This window comes from Homo sapiens, chromosome 3 (assembly GCF_000001405.40).
Source record: "Homo sapiens chromosome 3, GRCh38.p14 Primary Assembly".
Classification (NCBI taxonomy): domain Eukaryota; kingdom Metazoa; phylum Chordata; class Mammalia; order Primates; family Hominidae; genus Homo; species Homo sapiens.
This window is the reverse complement of record NC_000003.12, coordinates 160,079,868-160,098,022: the sequence shown is the minus strand read 5'-3', so window position 1 is coordinate 160,098,022 and position 18,155 is coordinate 160,079,868. Positions and strand designations below refer to the sequence as shown.

The window sequence follows — 18,155 nt, the reverse complement described above, 5'->3', positions numbered from 1 at the left end:
GGGTTTTGCCATATCAGTCAGAGTGTTAGTTTAAGCCAAAAACAAATTGAGTGAAACCTTGCTGTGCAAAGTGAGGGCCCTCAGGCCAGCAGTGGCATCAAATAGGAGCTTGTTAGAAATGCAGAGTCTCAGCTGGGAGCGGTGGCTCATTTCTGAGGTTGCAGTGACTCAAGATAGTGCCACTGCACTCCAGCTGGGACACAGGCACACACACACTCATTTCTGTAATCCCAGCACTTTGGGAGGCCAAGTTGGGCAGATCAGTTGACGTCAGGAGCTTGAGACCAGCCTGGTCAACATGGTGAAAGCCTGTCTCTCCTAAAAATACAAAAACTAGCCGGGCACGGTGGCGCATGCCTGTAATCCAGCTACGCGGGAGGCTAACGCAGGAGAATTGCTTGAACCCGGGAGGTGGAGGTTGCAGTGACTCAAGATCGCGCCACTGCACTCCAGCTGGGACACAGGCACACACACACTCCATGTATGTAGTAGACAGCTCCAGGCTGGGATCTGATGCCACGTGTGTGTGCCACACCCACTGTCTTCCAAAGAACCATTCCAGTGCCTGCGCACACAAACATACACACAGGCACACACACTCTCTTCATAATTTGGTTTGTGACTGGAGACTGGGCGGAAGAAAACATGTGAGTTAGAATGAAAGGCTAAGGCCAGGTGGGAATGCCAGGTAGGTAATGTAAGTTGGTAATCTAGGTTGGTAAAGGCCATGAGGTTAAGGCCAAATGGGTGAATCTAGATGGGTAATACAAGGTGTATGAGTCTAGGGGGAAGTGGGTGGGAGGAGGTGGTAAATCCAGGGAATAAGGGCAGAAGCATAAGTCCAGGGAAGTAAACCTATGGAGGTAATTTTAGCGGGGTAAGGCCAGGAGAGTATGGCCTGGTAGATAAAACTAGAAAGTTAAGAACCAAGTGTGAAGGCCATGTGGGTAACATATGGTGGGTAAAACTAATGTTAAAACTAGGTAGGTAATACAGGTTGTTAAGCCCATTAGGTTATGGCCCATAAGGTTTGCCCAGGTGGATGAGGCTGATGGGGTCTGGCCAGGGCAGTAAAAAGAGGTGGTAAGGCCAGTGAATAAGGGAAGGAGAGTATGGTTCCATGGGTAAGATCAGGTGGGTCCTGATGGCAGATTGAAGCCAGCAAATTAAATCCAGGTGGATAAGAACAGGTGAATAATCATGGGAAGTTATGGCCAGGTGGGTAAGGCCAGGACATTTAAGCCAGGAAATGAAGCCTGGGTCAGTAAGGCCAAGAGTTTCGTAGGGCCACATGGATGAAGCTTGTTTAAGAATACCATCAGGATAAGGTGATTAACACAATGAGGTTAATCATGTCTGTTGAGTAAGGCCATGTTGTTAAAACGAGCTGCGTGTATCCACCTGAATAAAAGACTATCCGGGTAACAACAGACCTGTCAATCAAAGGGAAACAACCAAGAGCGTTAAATCCAAGTCGATAAGCCAGCCAATAATAACAGGAGGCTAATACCCGGTGGTAAGGGGAAGGCTAGGAGGTGAAGGCCAGTTGAACAAAGCTAGGTGATTAACTTCACCTAGCCAGCAAATTAAGTCATGCTGGCTGAAGCCAGGTAAATGAATACAACCGGTAAGTATGGCCCTAAGTTTACTAAGGCCAGGTGGATAAGGCAATAGAAGAAGCTCAGAAAAGTAAGGCAGGGGAGGATGATCAGAGGATAATGACACTAGGTTAAGGCCAGCAGGGCTGGGAGAGCTGAGTAAGACCAGAAGTTAGGACTAATTATGAAGACCAACTGGTTAATGTTGGGTAGCTAAGATCAGTTGGGTAATTCCTGTTGGTAAGAACATGAGGTTAATGCCAGTAGGGTAAGGTCAGAAGCGTAGGCAGGTGCATAAAGCCTGGGGCGTAATACTGGATGAGCAAGGCCAGGAGGCTAATAAGGCAGGTGAGTAAATTGACGTTGGTAAAACCATGAGGTTAAGACCAGGCCAGGAAGCCAAGCAATTTAAAAGGCCAGGTGGATAAGGCCAGTAAGTTCAGGCCTCCTGAATAGAGCTAGGAGGCCAACTCTTACTGGGTAATGCTAAGAGGTTAAAGCTATGCAGATTAGACCAAGAGGTTAAAGCCATGTGAGTAAGAACAAAAGGTTAAGGCCAGGTGGAAAGGCCAGGGTGACAAGCTATATTGGCATTCCAGGTTGGTAAGGCCATGAGGTTAAGGACACATGGATAAGTCTAGTTCGTTAATGGGAGGTGTTTAAATCGAAAAGCAATGGGGAAGAGGGCATGTACATATAGGAAGTAAGGCAGGGGAGTAAACCTAGGGCTATACATCCAGGGTTACTGTCTGATAGATAAAACCAGAAGGTTAAGGACAGTTGTGTCAACCAAGTGTGAAGGCCATGTAGGTAACTATGTTCTTTAAGACTAGGTAGCAAAACTAGGTGGCTAATACAAGTTGTTAAGGCCATGTGGTTAAGGCCCTTAGGGTTAGGACAGGTGGGGAAAGCTAATAGGGTCTGGCCAGGGCCCTAAGAGGTGAGTAAGGCCAGGTGTGAGGGATAGGGGAGTAAGGCCCCGTGGGCAAGATCAGGTGGGTCATGACCAGAGATTGAGGCCAGCAAATTAAAGCCAGGTGGATAAGTACAGGTGGATAATGGCAGGAAGTTTTGACCAGGTGGTTAAGGCCAGGACTTTTAGGCCAGGAAATTAAGACTGGGTGAGTAAGGTCAGGAGTTTAATAAGGCCAGATAGATAATGCCAGGTTCATAATACCATGAGGACAAGATAAGGTGATGAAGGCAATGAGCTTATAAGTTCTGCTGAGTGCAGCCAGGTTGTTAAAACCAGGTGTTTAAATCCAGCTGAAGAAAAGACTGAGCAACCCCAGGCCAGGATATCAACGGGGGAACTGCCCAGTAGGATTAAGGGCAAGTTGTAAAACCAGCCAAATGATGACCTGAGGCTAATGTAGGTGGGTAAGACAGTGCAGGGAAGGCAAGGAGGTGAAGACCAGCTGGATAAAACCAGGTGGTCAACACCAGAAGGGTTTGAGGCCAGCAGATTAAGTCATGCTAGCTGATGCCAGGCAGTTGAATACAGCAGGTGAGTTTGGCTGTAGGATTAACGAAGTCAGGTGGGGGAGACATAGTGGGTAAGGCCAGAAGGTGAGCAAGACCAAGTGGGTAAGCCCAGGTAAATAAGGCCATGTGGTAACATCAAAAGGTGAATGCTGTGAAAGTAAAGCCAAGGGTCAGGACAGAGGATAATGACATTAGGTCAAGGCCAGTAGGGCTGGGAGAGGTGAGCAAGACCAGAAGTTTAAGAGTAATTGTGGGCAGGGCGCTGTGGCTTGCGCCTGTAATCCCAGCACTTTGGGAGGCCAAGGCGGGTGGATCACTTGAGGTCAGGAGTTCAAGACCAGCTTGGCCAATATGGTGAAATCCTGTCTCTACTAAAAACACAAAAATTAGCCATAAATGGTGGTACACGCCTGTAATCCCAGCTACTTGGGAGGCTGAGGCATGAGAATTGCTTCAACATAGGAGGAGGAGGTTGCAATGAGCTGAGATTGTGCCACTGCACTTCAGTCTAGGTGACAGAGCAAGGCTCCATCTCAAAAAAAAAAAAAAAGACTAACTGAAGGACACTGGGTAAGGCTAGGTTGGTAAGATCAGTTTGGCAAGTCTGGTTGTTACGAACATGAGGGTAAGGCCAGGTGGGTAAGCCAGGTGCATAAGTTCAGGGGATTTATATTGAATAAGTCCAGCAGGTTCATAAGGCATTTGAGTGAATCTAAGTTGGCTAAACACTGAGGTTAAGACCAGGTCAGGAAGCCAAGTGAATGAAAAGGCTGGGTGGGTAATGCCAGTAAGTTAAGGCCTCCTGAATAGAGCTAGGTGGCTACTCCACGTGGGTAATGCTAAGAGGTTAAAGCTAGGTAGATTAGGAAAGAAGGCTATGTGAGTTAGAATGAAAGGTTAAGGCCAGGTGGGAATGCCAGGTTGGTAGCTATATTGGTCATCTAGGTTGGTAAGGCCATGAGGTTAAGGCCAGGTATGTAAGTCCAGCTGGCTAATGCAAGGATTCTAAATCCAGGGGCTGGGGAGCAGTGGTAAATCCAGGGAATAAGGGCAGGGGTATAAGCCCAGGGAAGTAAACCTAGGGAGGTAAATCCAGTGGTTTAAGTCCTGGTAGATAAAACCAGAAGGCTAAGGACAATTGTGTAAACCAAGTGTGAAGGCCATGTGGGTCATGTACAGTTGGGAAGACTAGGTGGGAAAGCTGGGTGGCTAATCCAAGTTGTTAGGGCCACAAGGTTAAGGCCCATAGGGATAGACCAGGTGGAGAAGGCTAATGGGGTATGGCCAAGGCCCTAAAATGAAGTTGGTAAGACCAGGGAGTAATGGCAGCCGAGTTAGGCCTCATGGGCAAGATCATGTGGGTCTTGACCAGAGATCAAGGCCAGCAAATTAAAGCCAGGTAGGTAAGAACAAGTGGATTATGGCGGGCGGGAAGTTATGTCCAGGTAGGTGAAGCCAGGACTTTTAATCTAGGAAATTAAGACTCGGAGAGAATGGCCAGGAGGTTAATAAAGCCAGATAGATAATGCCAGGTTCATAATGCCAAGAGGATAAGATAAGGTGATGAAGCCAATGAGCTTAATAAGTTCTGCTGAGTGTGGCTTGGTTATTAAAACCAGGTGTTTAAGCTAAATAGAAGACTATTCCCAGGCTGGGGAAACACCCAGTTGGATTAAGGGTAATTCTCCAAACCAGCCAAATGATGACCTAAGGCTAATATTAGGTGGGCGAGACAGTGTGGGGAAGGTGACAAGGTGAAGGCCAGAGGAATAAAACTAGGTGGTAAACACCAGAAAAGTATGAGGCCAGCAGATTAAGTCACACTGACTAAGGCCAAGCAGGTGAAGAGAGCAGGTGAGTATGTCCCTAAGGTTAATGAGGTCAGGTGGGGAAGGCCTAGCGGGTAAGGCCAGGTAAATACAGCCACCAGGAATGCCATCAGGTGAAGGCCAGGAAAGGAAAGCCAAAGGCCGGGACAGGGGATAATGACACGAGGTTAATGCCAGTAGTGGGGACAGGTGAGGAAGTCTAAAAGGTTGAGACTAATTGGGAAGGCCAACTGGGTAAGGCTGGGGAGGTAAGATCAGCTGAGTGATTTGGGTTGGTAAAAATGGGATGTTAATGGCACTAGGGTGAGGTCAGGTGGGTACGCTAGGTGTGTAAGACCAGAAGATTCATACTGGATGAGTAAGGCCAGGAGGTTCATAAGGCAGGTGGGTAAATCTAAGTTGTCAAAACCATGAGGTTAAGACCAGGTCAGGAAGCCAAGCAATTGAAAAGTCCAGTTGGCTTAATCCAGTAAGTTAAGGCCTTCCTGAATAGGGCTAGGTGGCTGACTCCACCTCGGTAATGCCAAGCCGTTACTACTAGGCAGACTAGGTCAGGAGGTTAACACCTTGTGAGTTAGACAGGTTAAGGCCAGGTGGGAATGCCAGGCTGGTAAGCTATGTTGGTCATCCAGATTGGGAAGTTCATGAGTTTAAGGCCAGGTGGGTAATACAAGATGTCTAAATATGGGGCTGGGGCTGGGGCATGGAATTGAGGGTGAAGCTAGGGGAAAAGGGCAGGGGGTGATAAAACCAGGGGAGAAAACCTAGGGAGGTAAATCCAGGGGGCTATTCCCTGTTAGATAAAACCAGAAGGCTAAGGACAGTTGTGTAAACCAAATGTGGAGGCCATGTGGGTCACGTGTAATCATTAAGACTAGTTAGGAAAACTAGGTGGCTAATCCAGATTGTTAAGGCCATGAGGTTAAGGCCCATAGGGATAGGCCAGGTGTGGAAGGCTAATGGGATATGGCCAGGGCCGTAACATGAAGTGGAAAAGGTCAGACAGCAAGGGCAGGGGAGTAATGGCAGGAGCTTCATAAGGCAGGTGGGTAAATCTTAGTGGGTAAAATCAGGTAGATTTTGATGGGAGACTGAGGCAAGCGAATTACAACCAGGTAGTAAGAACACGTGGACATGGCAGGAAGTTATGGCCAGTTGGGTAAGGCCAGCATTTTTAGGCAAAGTCATGAAGACTGGGCGACAAGGGCCAGGAGGTTAATAAGGTCAGATGGATAATGTCAAGTTTGTCATACCATGAGGATAAAATAAGGTGAGGAAGGCAATCAGATTAATAAGGTTGGCTGAGTTTGGCCAGGTTGTTAAAACCAGGTGTCTAAATCCAGCTCAATAAAGGACTATTTCAGTAACCCCACGCTGTGAAATCAACAGAGTAAACACCCAGTAGGATTCACGGCAAGTTGACAAGCCAGTCAAATGATGACTGGAGGCAAATACTAGGTACGTAAGACAGTGCAGCTAAGGTGAGGAGGTGAAGGCCAGCTGAATAAACCAGGTGGTAAACACCAGTAGGGTATGAAGCCAGCAGATTAAATCATGCTGGCTGAGGCCAGGCAGCTAAAGAGGGTGGGTGAGTATGGCCTTAAGGTTGATGACATAGTTAACCAAAGGTTAAGGACAGTTGTATATAACAAGTGTGAAGGCCACGTTTGGTAAGACTAGGTGGCAAACCCTGGCAGCTAATCCAATTTGTTAAGGCTATGAGATTAAAGTCAATAAGGTTAAGTCAGGTAAGTGAGTCTAATGGGGTCTCACCAGAGAGGGAGTAAGACCAGGGTGTAAGGATAGGGGAGTAAGGCCTCATGGCTAACATCAGATGGGTCTTGACAGCAGATTGAGGCCAGCAAATTAAAGGGCTACATGGATGAATCTTGTTTAATAATGCCATGAGGATAAGGACGATTAAAGCAATAAGGTTAATAAGGTCTGCTGAATAAGGCAAGGTTGCTAAAACCAGGTGTATAAATCCGGGTGAATAAAAGACATTTGGGTAACACCAGGCCAGTCAATCAAGGGGAAACAGCCAAGAGCACTAAAGCAAAGTCAGTAAGCCAGCTAAATAATAACAAGAGGGTAGTACTGGATGGGGATGACAGTGAGAGGAACACTGGGAGGTGAAGGCCAGCTGAATGAAGCAAGGTAATCAACACCAGATGGGTGTGAGACCAGCAGATTAAATCATGCTGGCTGAGGCCTGGCAGGTGAATACAGTAGGTGAGTAAGCCCAGGCTGCTTGAGACCTGCCTGGCCAACATGGTAAAACCACGTCTCTACTACAAATACAAAAACTAGACAGGACTGATAGCACATGCCTGTAATTCCAGCTACTTGAGAGGCTGAAGCAAGAGAATCTCTTGAACCTAGGAGTTCGAGGTTGCAACGAGCCAAGATGGCACCACCACATTCCAGCCTGAGTAACAGAGCAAGATTCCGCCTAAAAACAACAACAAAAAGACTCATTGTGAATACCACTGGGTAAGGCTTGAATGGTAAAATCAATCTGGGGCTGAGCGCAGTGACTCATATCTATAATCCCAGCACATTGGGAGGCTGAGACAGGCAGATCACCTGAGGTCAGGAGTTTGAGACTAGCCTGGTCAGCACGGTCAATCTCCATCTCTACTAAAACTACAATAATTAGCCAGGTATGGTGTCAGGCTACTGTAATCCCAGCTACTAAGGAAGCATAGGCAGGAGAATTGCTTGAACCCGTGAGGTGGAGGCACAGTGAGCTGAAATCGTGCCATTGTACTCCAGCCTGGGCGACAAAACTCTATATCAAAAAAACAAACCAACCAACCAACAAAAAAACAAAAAAGAATTGGGCAATTGTGTTTGGTAAGGACATGAGGTTAATGATAGTAGGGTAAGGCTAGGTGGGCAAGCCAAGAGAATAAGTCCAGGGGATTCATACTGAATGAATAAGGCCCAGAGGTTCATAAGGCAGATGGGTAAATTTAAGTTGGCTAAACTATGAGGTTAAGATTGGGTCAGGAAACGAAGCAATTTAAAAGTCCAGGTGGCTAAAGCCAGTAAGTTATGGCCTCCCTGAATAGAGCTAGGTGGCTAACTTCAAACGGGTAATGCCATGAGGTTAAGCTTAGGCAGATTAATCCAGAAGAATGAGGCCATGAGAGTAAGAATGAAAGGTAAAAGCCAGGTGGGAAGGCCAGGTTGGTAAGCTATGTTGGTCATCTCGGTTGGTGAAGCCATGAGGTTAAGGCCAGGTGGGTAAGTCCAGGTGGCTAATGCAAGGTTTCTAAGTCCAAGGGTGGGGGGTAAATCTAGGGAATAAGGGCAGGTTATCATTCTAGGGGAGTAAACATAGGGAGGTAAATCCAGGAGTTAAGGCCTGGCAGATAAAACCAGAAGATGAAAGATGGTTGTGTAAACCAACGTGAAGGTCATTTGAGTCATGTATGGTCAGTAAGACCAGGTGGGAAAACATGGTAGCTAATCCAGGTTGTTGAGGCCATGAGGTTAAGGTCCATAGGGTTAGGTCTATTGAGGAAGACTAATGGGTTCCAGCTAGGGTGGTAAAATACGGGAGGCAAGGACACGGAGTCAAGGCAGGGGACTAATCACGGGCAAGATCAGGTGGGTCATGACCAGAGATTAAGGCCAGCAAATTAAACCTAGGTGGGTAAGAACAGATGGATAATGATGGGCAGGAACTTATGACCAGGTGTGTAAGATCAGGATTTTTAGGCCATGAAATTAAGTCTGGGTGAGTAAGGCCAAGAGGTTAATAAGGACAGAAGGATGATGCCAGCTCCTAATACCACGTGGACAAGATAAGGTGATGAAGGCAAGAAGGTTAGTAAGTTTGGCTCAGGGTGGCCAGGTTGTAAAACCAGGTTTATAAATTCAGCTGAATGAAAGACCATTTGGGTAACACCAGGCTGGTAAATTAATAGGAGGAATATGCAGGAGAACTAAGGCCAAGTCAGCAAGACAGCCAAATAATGACAGGAGGCTAATGCTAGGTGGGTAAGTCAGGTGAAGGGAAGGCGAGGAGGTTAAGGCAAGCTGAATAAAACTAGGGGGTAGACACTGGATGGGCATGAGGCCAGCAGATTACGTCATGCTGTCTGAGACCAGGCAGGTGAATATGGCTGGTTAGTATGGCTTTAAGGTTAGTAAGGTTGGCTGGGGAAGCCCTAGTGGGTAAGGCTATATAAATAAGGGAAGGTCAATAGGTGAGGTCTGGGAAAGTAAGGCCAAGGGTCAGGATTAAGGATAATGCCACTAGGTTTAAGCCCAGTAGGGCTGGGACCAGAAGTTGGGACTAATTGTGAAGGTAAAATGGAGAATGCTGGGTAGATAAAATCAGTTAGGTGATTCGGGTTGGTAAAGACATGAGGTTAAGGCCAGTAGTGTAAGGCCAGGTGGGTAAGCCAGGTTCATAAGGCCAACAGATTAATGCTGAATGAGTAAGGTCAGGAAGTTAATAAGTCCAGTGGGTAAATTTATTTTGGCAAAACCATAAGGTTAACACTGGGTCAGGAAGCCAAGCCATTGAAAAAGCCAGATGGCTAAAGCTAGTAAAGTTAAGGCCACTGAGTACAGCTAGGTGGATAACTCCAACTGGGTAATGCTGAGAGGTTAACGCTAGGCAGACTAGGCTGGGTGGTTGAGGTTATATGACTAAGAATAAAACGCTGAGGCCAGGTGAGAAGGCCAGTTTGGTAAGCTATTGAGGACATGAGGATAAGGTGGGATGGGCAAGTCCAAATGGGAAATGTAAGGTGTGTTAAATTTGGGTGTTGGGGGACATTTAGGTAATAAGGGCAGGGAAGTAAGTCCAGGGGAGGAAAGCTAGGGAGGTAAGTTTAGGAAAATTAGACCAGTCGCTAAGTCCTGATAAATAAAACTAGAAGGTTAAAGAAAGCTGTGTAAACTAAGCATGAAACCCATGATGGGTAAGTCTAGGCAGGAAAACAAGGTACATAATGCAGGTTGTTGAGACTTAAGTGAAGGTCCATAGGTTTAGGCCAGGTTTGGAAAGCTAATGGGTTCTGGCAAGGGTGAGAAAATGAGGTGGGTTGGCCAAGCGTGGTGGCTCATGCCTGTAATCCCAGCACTTTGGAGGCCGACACAGGTGAATCACGAGGTCAGGAGATAGAGACCATCCTGGCCAACATGGTGAAACCTCAAGTCTACTAAAAATATAAAAATTAGGTGGGCGTGTTGGCACGTGCCTGTAATCCCAGCTACTCGTGAGGCTGAGACAGCAGAATCGCTTGAACCAGGGAGTCAGAGGTTGCAGTGAGCCGAGATCACACCACTGAACTCCAACCTGGCAACATAGCGAGACTCCGTCTTAAAATAATAATAATAATAATAAAAAAATAAATAAATAAAATGAAGTGGGTAAGGCCAGGCAGTAAAGAAAGGGCAGGAAGGCACCATGGGCAAGAGCGGGTAGGTTTTGACAGCAGATTGAAACCAGCAAATTAAAGCTAGGTGGGTAAGAACAGGAGGATAATGGTGAGAAGTTATGGCCAGATAGATGAGGCCAAGACCGTTAGTAAGGCCAGAAAATTAAGGCTAGGTCAGTAAAGCCACAAGTTTCATAGGGCCACATGGATGAAGCTTGTTTAATAATGCCACGAGGGTAAGGTGATTAAGGAAATGAGGTTAATAATGTCTGGTGAGGAAGGCCAGACTGTTAAAACCAAGTGTTTAAATCTAGCTGAAGAAAAGACTATTTGGGTAACCCCAGGCCAGTAAATCAATGGAGACATTCCCAGTAGGATAAATGCCAAGTTGCCAAGCCAGCTAACTAATGACAGGAAACTAACACTAGGTGGGCAAGACAGTGTGGGGAAGGTGAATAGGTGAAGGCCAGATGAATTAAACCAGGTACTCAACATCAGATGGGTATGAGGCCAGCAGATGATGTCATGCTATGCTTACCGAGGCCAGGCAGGTGAATATGGCAGGTGAGTATGGCTGTCAGGTTAATAATGTTGGCTACAGAAGGCCTACTGTTTGAGGCCAGTAGTTGAACAAGGCCAAGTGGGTAAGGCCAAGAAAATACAGTCATGTGAAAAGGCCAATAGGTGAAGGCCAGGAAAGTAGAGCCAGGGCCTGGGACAGCAGATAATGACACTAGGTTAGGGCCAGTAGGGCTGGGACAGCTAAGTAAGACCAAAAGGTTGAGGCTGATTGTGAAGGTGAACTGGGTAAGGCCAGGTAGGTAAAATCAGCTGTGTCATTCTGGTTGGTAAGGACGTATGTTAAGGCCAGTAGGGTAAGGCCAGGTAAGTAAGCTAGGTGCATAAGACCAGGGGATTAATACTAAATGAGTGAGGCCAGGATGTTAATAAGGTAGGTGGGTAAATTTAAGTTGGCAAAACCATGAGGTTAAGGGTAGGTCAGGTAGCCAAGCTATTTAAAAAGCCAGATGGTTAAGACCAGTAAGTTAAGGCCTCCTTGAATACAACTAGGTGGCTGAGTTTAAGTGGGTAAAGCTAAGAGGTTAAACCTAGGCACATTATGCCAGAAGGTTAAGGCCATGAGAGTGACAGTAGAACATTAAGGCCAGGTAAGAAGGTCAGGGAGTTAAGTTGGTAATCCTGGATGGTCAGGCCATGAGGTTGAGGCCAGGTGGGCAAATCCAGATGGGTAATGCAAGGTGTCTACATCCAGGGAGGGGATATCTAAGGAATAAGTAAAGGGGGATAAGTCTAGGTGAATGAACCTAGGGAGGTAAATCCAGGGGGTTAAGGCCTGGTAGAAACAACTAGAAGGTTAAAGCCAGGAGATTCGTACTGGATGAATAAGGCCAGTAGGTTCATGAGACAGTTGGGTAAATCTCAGCTGGCAAAAATGTGAGGTTAAGACCGGTTAGGAAGCCAAGTGATTGAATAGTCCGGGTGGCTTAGGCCAGTAAGTTAAGGCCTTCCTGAATACAGCTAGGTGGCTAACTCCACCTGGATAATGCCAAGAGGTTACTACTAGGCAGACTATGTCAGGAGGGTAAGGCCATGTGAGTTAGAATCAAAGGTTAAGGCCAGGTGGGAATGCCAGGTTGGTAAGCTATGTTGGTCATCCAGGTTGGGAAGGTCATGAGGTTAAGGCCAGGTGGGTAATGCAAGATGTCTAAATATGGGCTTGGGGCTGGGGCTGGGGTTGGGGCATTCAGCTTGGGATAAAGCTAGGGAAAAAGGGCAGGGGTATGATAAAAGCAAGGGAAAAAAACCTAGGGAGGTAACTCCAGGGACTTAAGACCTGTTAGATAAAACCAGAAGGCTAAGGACAGTTGCATAAACCAAGTGTGGAGGCCATGTGATCACATATGATCACCTATGATCAGTAAGACTAGGTGGGAAAACTAGGTGGCTAATCCAGGCTGTTAAGGCCATGAGGTTAAGACCACAGGGTTAGGCCAGGTGTGGATGGCTAATGGGGTCTGGCCAGGGCCTTAACATGAAGAGGATAAGGCCAGAGAGCAAGGGCAGGGGAGCATGGCAGGAGCTTCATAAAGCTGATGGGTAAATCTTAGCTGATAAAATCAGCTGGGTCTTGATGGGAGCTTGAGGACAGCAAATTACAACCAGGTGAGTAAGAACAAGTGGACAATGGCAGGAAGTTAAGGCCAGTCAGGTAAGGTCAGGATTGTTAGGCAAAGTCATGAAGACTGGGTGAGAAGGGCCAGGTGGTTAATAAGGCCAGATGGATAACGTCAAGTTTGTAATACCATGAAGATAAAATAAAATGATGAAGGCAATCAGGTTAATAAGGTTTACTGAGTTTGGCCAGGTTGTTAAAACCAGGTGTCTAAACCTAGCTCTATAAAGGACTATTTCAGTAACCCCACACTGTGAAACCAACAGGGGAAACACCCAGTAGGATTAACAGCAAGTTGCTAAGCCAGTCGAGTGATGACTAGAGGCAAATACTAGGTGAGTAAGACAGTGCAGGTAAGGTGAGGAGAAGGCCAGCTGAATAAACCAGGTGGCAAACACCAGTAGGGTATGAAGCCAGCAGATTAAGTCATGCTGGCTGAGGCCAGGCAGCTGAAGAGGGCAGGTGAGTATGGCCATAAGGTTAATGACATGGTTAACCAAAGGTTATGGACAGTTGTATACACCAAGTGTGAAGGCCATGTTTGGTAAGACTAGGTGGCAAACCCTGGCAGCTAATTCAATTTGTTAAGGCTGTGAGTTTAAAGCCCACAAGGGTAAGCCAGGTGAGCAAGGTTAATGGGGTCTCACCAGAGAGGGGAGTAAGACCTGGGTGTAAGGACAGGGGAGTAAGGCCTCATGGGTAAGATCAGGTGGGTCGTGGCGGCAGATTGAGGCCAGCAAATTAAAGCCAGCTGGGTGAGAATAGGTGGATGATGGTAAGAAGTTACGGTCAGGTGGGTAAGGCCAGGACTTTTAGTCTAGGAAATTAAGCCTGGATCTTATGGGCAGGAGTTTCAAAGGGCTACATGGAAGAAGCTTGTATAATAATGCCATGAGAATAAGGATGATTAAGACAATGAGGTTAATAAGGTCTGCTGAGTAAGGCAAGGTTGCTAAAACAGGTGTATAAATAGGCTGAATAAGACTATTTGGGTAACACCAGGCCAGTCAATCAAGGGGAAACACCCAAGGGCATTAGAGCAGTCACTAAGCCAGTTAAATAATAACAGGAGGGTAGTACTGGATAGGGATGACAGTGAGAGGGACACTGGGAAGTGAAGGCCAGCTGAACAAAGTAAGGTGGTCAACACCAGATGGGTGTGAGACAAGCAGATTAAATCATGCTGGCTGAGGCCTGGCAGGTGAATATGGTAGGTGAGTAAGCCCAGGCTGCTTGAGTCCTGCCTGTCCAATATGGTGAAACCATGTCTCTACTACAAATACAAAAACTAGAAGGGCGTGGTGGTGCACACTTATAATCCCAGCTACTTGAGAGGCTGAAGGAGGAGAATTACTGGAACCCGGGAGTCCAAGGTTGCAGTGAGCCAAGATGGACCACTGCACTCCAGCTTGGGTGCCTGAGCAAGACTCTGCCTCAAAACAACAACAACAAAAGACTAATTGTGAATACCAGTGGGTTAGGATCGGTAGGTAAAATCAACTGGGGGCCAGGCACAGTGGCTCACACATATAATTCCAGCACTTTGGGAGGCCGAGGCAGGCAGATTACCTGAGGTCAGGAGTTTGAGACTAGCCTGGCCAACATGGTGAAACTTCATCTCTACTAAAAATACAAAAATTAGCCGGGTGTGGTGGCAGGCACCTGTAATCCCAGCTACTCTGGAGGCTTAGGCAGAGAATCACTTGAACCAGGGAGGCGAAGGTTGCAGTGAGCTGAGATCGTGTCCAACCTGGGTGACAAGAGGGAAATTCCATCTAAAAAAAAAAAAAATCAACTGGGCAATTCTGGTTTGTAAGGATATGAGGTTAATGCCAGTAGGGTTAGGCCAGGTGGGTAAGCCAGGTGAATAAGTCCAGGGGATTCATACTGAATGAGTAAGGCCCAGAGGTTCATAAGGCAGATGGGTAAATCTAAGTTGGCTAAACCATGAGGTTAAGACTGGGTCAGGAAACCAAGCAATTTAAAAGGCCAAGTGGCCAACATCAGTAAGTTAAGGCCTCCCTGAGTAGAGCTAGGTGGCTAACTCCAAGTGGGTAATGCCGTGAGGTTAAGGCTAGGCCAATTAATCCAAGAGAATAAGGCCATGAGAGTAAGAATGAAAGGTAAAGGCCGGGTGGGAAGGCCAGGTTGGTAAGCTATGTTGGTCATCTTGGCTTGTGAAGCCATGAGGTTAAGACCAGGTGGGTAAGTCCAGGTGGCTAATGCAAGTTTTCTAAGTTCAAGGGTGAAGGGTAAACCTAGAGAATAATGGCAGGGGTATTAGTCTAGGGGAGTAAACCTAGGGAGGTAAATCCAGGGGTTAAGACCTGGCAGATAAAACCAGAAGATTAAGGACAGTTGTGTAAACCAACGTTAAGGCCATTTGGGTCATGTAAGGTCAGTAAGACCAGGTGGGAAAACATGGTGGCTAATCCAGGTTGTTGAGGCCATGAGGTTAAGGCCCATAGGGTTACGTCTGGTGAGGAAGACTAATTGGGTCTTGCCAGGGTTGTAAAATGAGGGGGGAGAGGCCAGGGAGTAAAGGCAGGGGACTAAGGCCTCATGGGCAACATCAGGTGGGTCAAGACCAGAGATTGAGACCAGCAAATTAAACGTAGGTGGGTAAGAACAGGTAGATATTGGTGGGTTGGAACTTATGGCCAGGTGTGTAAATCCAGAACTTTTAGGCCATGAAATTAAGTCTGGGTGAGTAAGGCCAAGAGGTTAATAAGGAAAGAAGGATAATGCCAGGCTCCTAATACCATGTGGACAAGATAAAGTGATGAAGGCAAGAAGGATAGTAAGTTTGACTGAGTGCAGCCAGGCTGTTAAAACCAGGTTTATAAATCTGGCTGAATAAAAGACTATTTGAGTAACACCAGGCTGCTAAATTAATAGGAGAAACGTGCAGGAGAATTAAGGCCAAGTCAGCAAGCCAGCCAAATAATGACAGGAGGCTAATGCTAGGTAGGTAAGACAGGTGAGGAGAAGGCAAGGAGGTTAAGGCAAGCTGAACAAAACTAGGGGTTAGACACCAGATGGGCATGAGGCCAGCAGATTAAGTCATGCTGTCTGAGACCAGGCATGTGAATAAGGTTGGTGAGTATGGCCCTAAGGTTAAGCAGGTCAGGTGGGGAAAGCCTACTGGGTAAGGCCAGATAAATAAGGCCACATGGGGAGGTTAATAGGTGAGGGCTGGGAAAGTAAGGCCAAGGGTCAGGACTAAGCATAATGCCCCTAGGTTAAGGTGAGTAGGGCTGGGAGATGTGAGTAAGACCAGAAGTTTGGACTAATTGTGAAAGCCAAATGGGTAAGGCTGGGTAGATAAAATCAGTTCAGTGATTCAGGTTGGTAAGGACATGAGGTTAAGGCCAGTAGGGTAAAGCCAGGTGGGTAAGCCAGGTTCGTAAGGTCAGCAGATTAATGCTCAATGAGTAAGGTCAGGAGGTTAATAAGGCTGCTGGGTAAATTTATTTTGGCAAAACCATAAGGTTAACACCAGGCCAGGAAGCCAAGCGACTGAAAAAACCAGGTGGGTAAAGCTAGTAAAGTTATGGCCAGCAAGTACAGCCAGGTTCGTAACTCCAACTGTGTAAGGCTTGTGTGGGAAGTCAGTGACCCCCAAATGGAGGGACCACCTGAAGCCATGGCAGAAGAATGTGGATTGTGAAGATTTCATGGACATTTATTAGTTCCCCAAATTAATACTTTTATAATTTCTTATGCCTGTCTTTACTGCAATCTCTAAACATAAATTGTAAAGATTTCATGGACACTTATCACTTCCCCAATCAATACCCTTGTGATTTCCTATGCCTGTCTTTACTTTAATCTCTTAATCCTGTCAGCTGAGGAGGATGTACATTGCCTCAGGACCCTGTAATAATTGCATTAACTGCACAAATTGTACAGCATGTGTGTTTGAGCAATATGAAATGTGGGCACCTTGAAAAAAAGAACAGGATAACGCAATTGTTCAGAGAATAAGAGAGATAACCCTAAACTCTGACCGCCGGTGAGCCGGGCGGAACAGAGCCATATTTCTCTTCTTTCAAAAGCAAATGGGAGAAATATTGCTGAATTCTTTTTCTCAGCACAGAACATCCCTAAGAAAGAAAATGCGCACCTGGGGGTGGGTCTCTGAACTGGCCCCCCTGGGCGTGGTCGTCTCTTATGGTCCAGACTGCAGAGGTGAAATAGACTCCAGTCTCCCATAGTGCTCCCAGGCTTATTAGGAAGAGGAAATTCCCGCCTAATAAATTTTGGTCAGACCAGGTGATCTCAAAACCCTGTCTCCTGATAAGATGTTATCAATGACAATGGTGCCCGAAACTTCATTAGCAATTTTAATTTCACCTGGTCCTGTGGTCCTGTGATCTCGCCTTGCCTCCACTTGCCTTGTGATATTCTATTACCTTGTAAAGTACTTGATGTCTGTGACCCACACCTATTCGCACACTCCCTCCCCTTTTGAAACTCCCTAATAAAAACTTGCTGTTTTTTGCGGCTTGTGGGGCATCACGGAACCTACCAACATGTGATGTCTCCTCCGGATGCCCGGCTTTAAAATTTCTCTCTTTTGTACTCTGTCCCTTTATTTCTCAAGCTGGCCGACACTTAGGGAAAATAGAAAAGAACCTACGTGAATATCAGGGCAGGTTCCCCGATAAAGGCTGAGAACTTAATGCTAGGCATATTATGCTAGGAGGTTGAGGCCATGTGACTAAGAATGAAAGGCTAAGGCCAGTGAGAAGGCCAGGTTGGTAAGCTATGGAGTCCATGAGGTTCAGGCCAGATGGGGGAAGTCCAAATGGGAAATGTAAGGTATGTTATGTTCGGGCGTGGGAGAAAATCTAGGTAAGAAAGGCAGGGAAATAAGCCCAAGGGAGGAAACCTAGGGAGGTAAGTTTTGAAAAATAAGACTGGGGGCTAAGTCCTGGTAAATAAAACCAGAAGGTTAAGGACAGCTGTGTAAACTAAGCATGAAACTCACAATGGGGAAGACTAGGTGGAAAAACTAGGTAGGTAATCCAGGTTGTTGAGACCACATGGTTAAGGCCCACAGGTTTCGGCCAGGTGTGGAAAACTAAAGGGTTCTGGCAAGGGTGATAAATTGAGGTGGGTAAGGCCAAGCAATAAAGAAAGGGCAGTAAGGCACCATGGGCAAGACCAGGTAGGTCTTGACAGTAGATTGAGGCCAGCAAATTAAAGCCAGGTAGGTAAGAATAGGTGGATAACGGCGAGAAGTTATGGCCAGGTAGATAAGACCAAGATCATTAGTTAGGCTAGGAAATTAAACCTGGGTCAGTAAGGCCAGGAGTTTCATAGGGCCACATGGATGAAACTTGTTTAATAATGCCATGAGGGTAAGGTGATTAAGGAAGTGAGGTTAATAATGTCTGGTGAGTAAGGCCAGATTGTTAAAACCAGGCATTTAAATTTAGCCAAAGAAAAGACTATTTGTGTAACCCCAGGACAGTAGATCCATGGAGAAATTCCCTGTAGGATTAAGGCCAAGTTGCCAAGCCAGCTAAATAATGATAGGAAACTAATACTAGGTGGGCAAGATAGTGAGGGGAAGGTGAGGAGGTGAAGGCCAGATGAATTAAACCAGGTAGTCAACATCAGATGGGTATGAAGCCAGCAGATT

The 18,155-nt window shown here is 46.5% G+C and overlaps 1 long non-coding RNA gene across 1 annotated transcript in view; it reads left to right on the top strand.

Annotated features, from left to right (window-relative positions):
• IL12A-AS1 (IL12A antisense RNA 1) overlaps positions 1 to 18,155 on the top strand; it is a 293,693-nt gene that overhangs the window by 109,070 nt on the left and 166,468 nt on the right. The window lies entirely within an intron of this gene.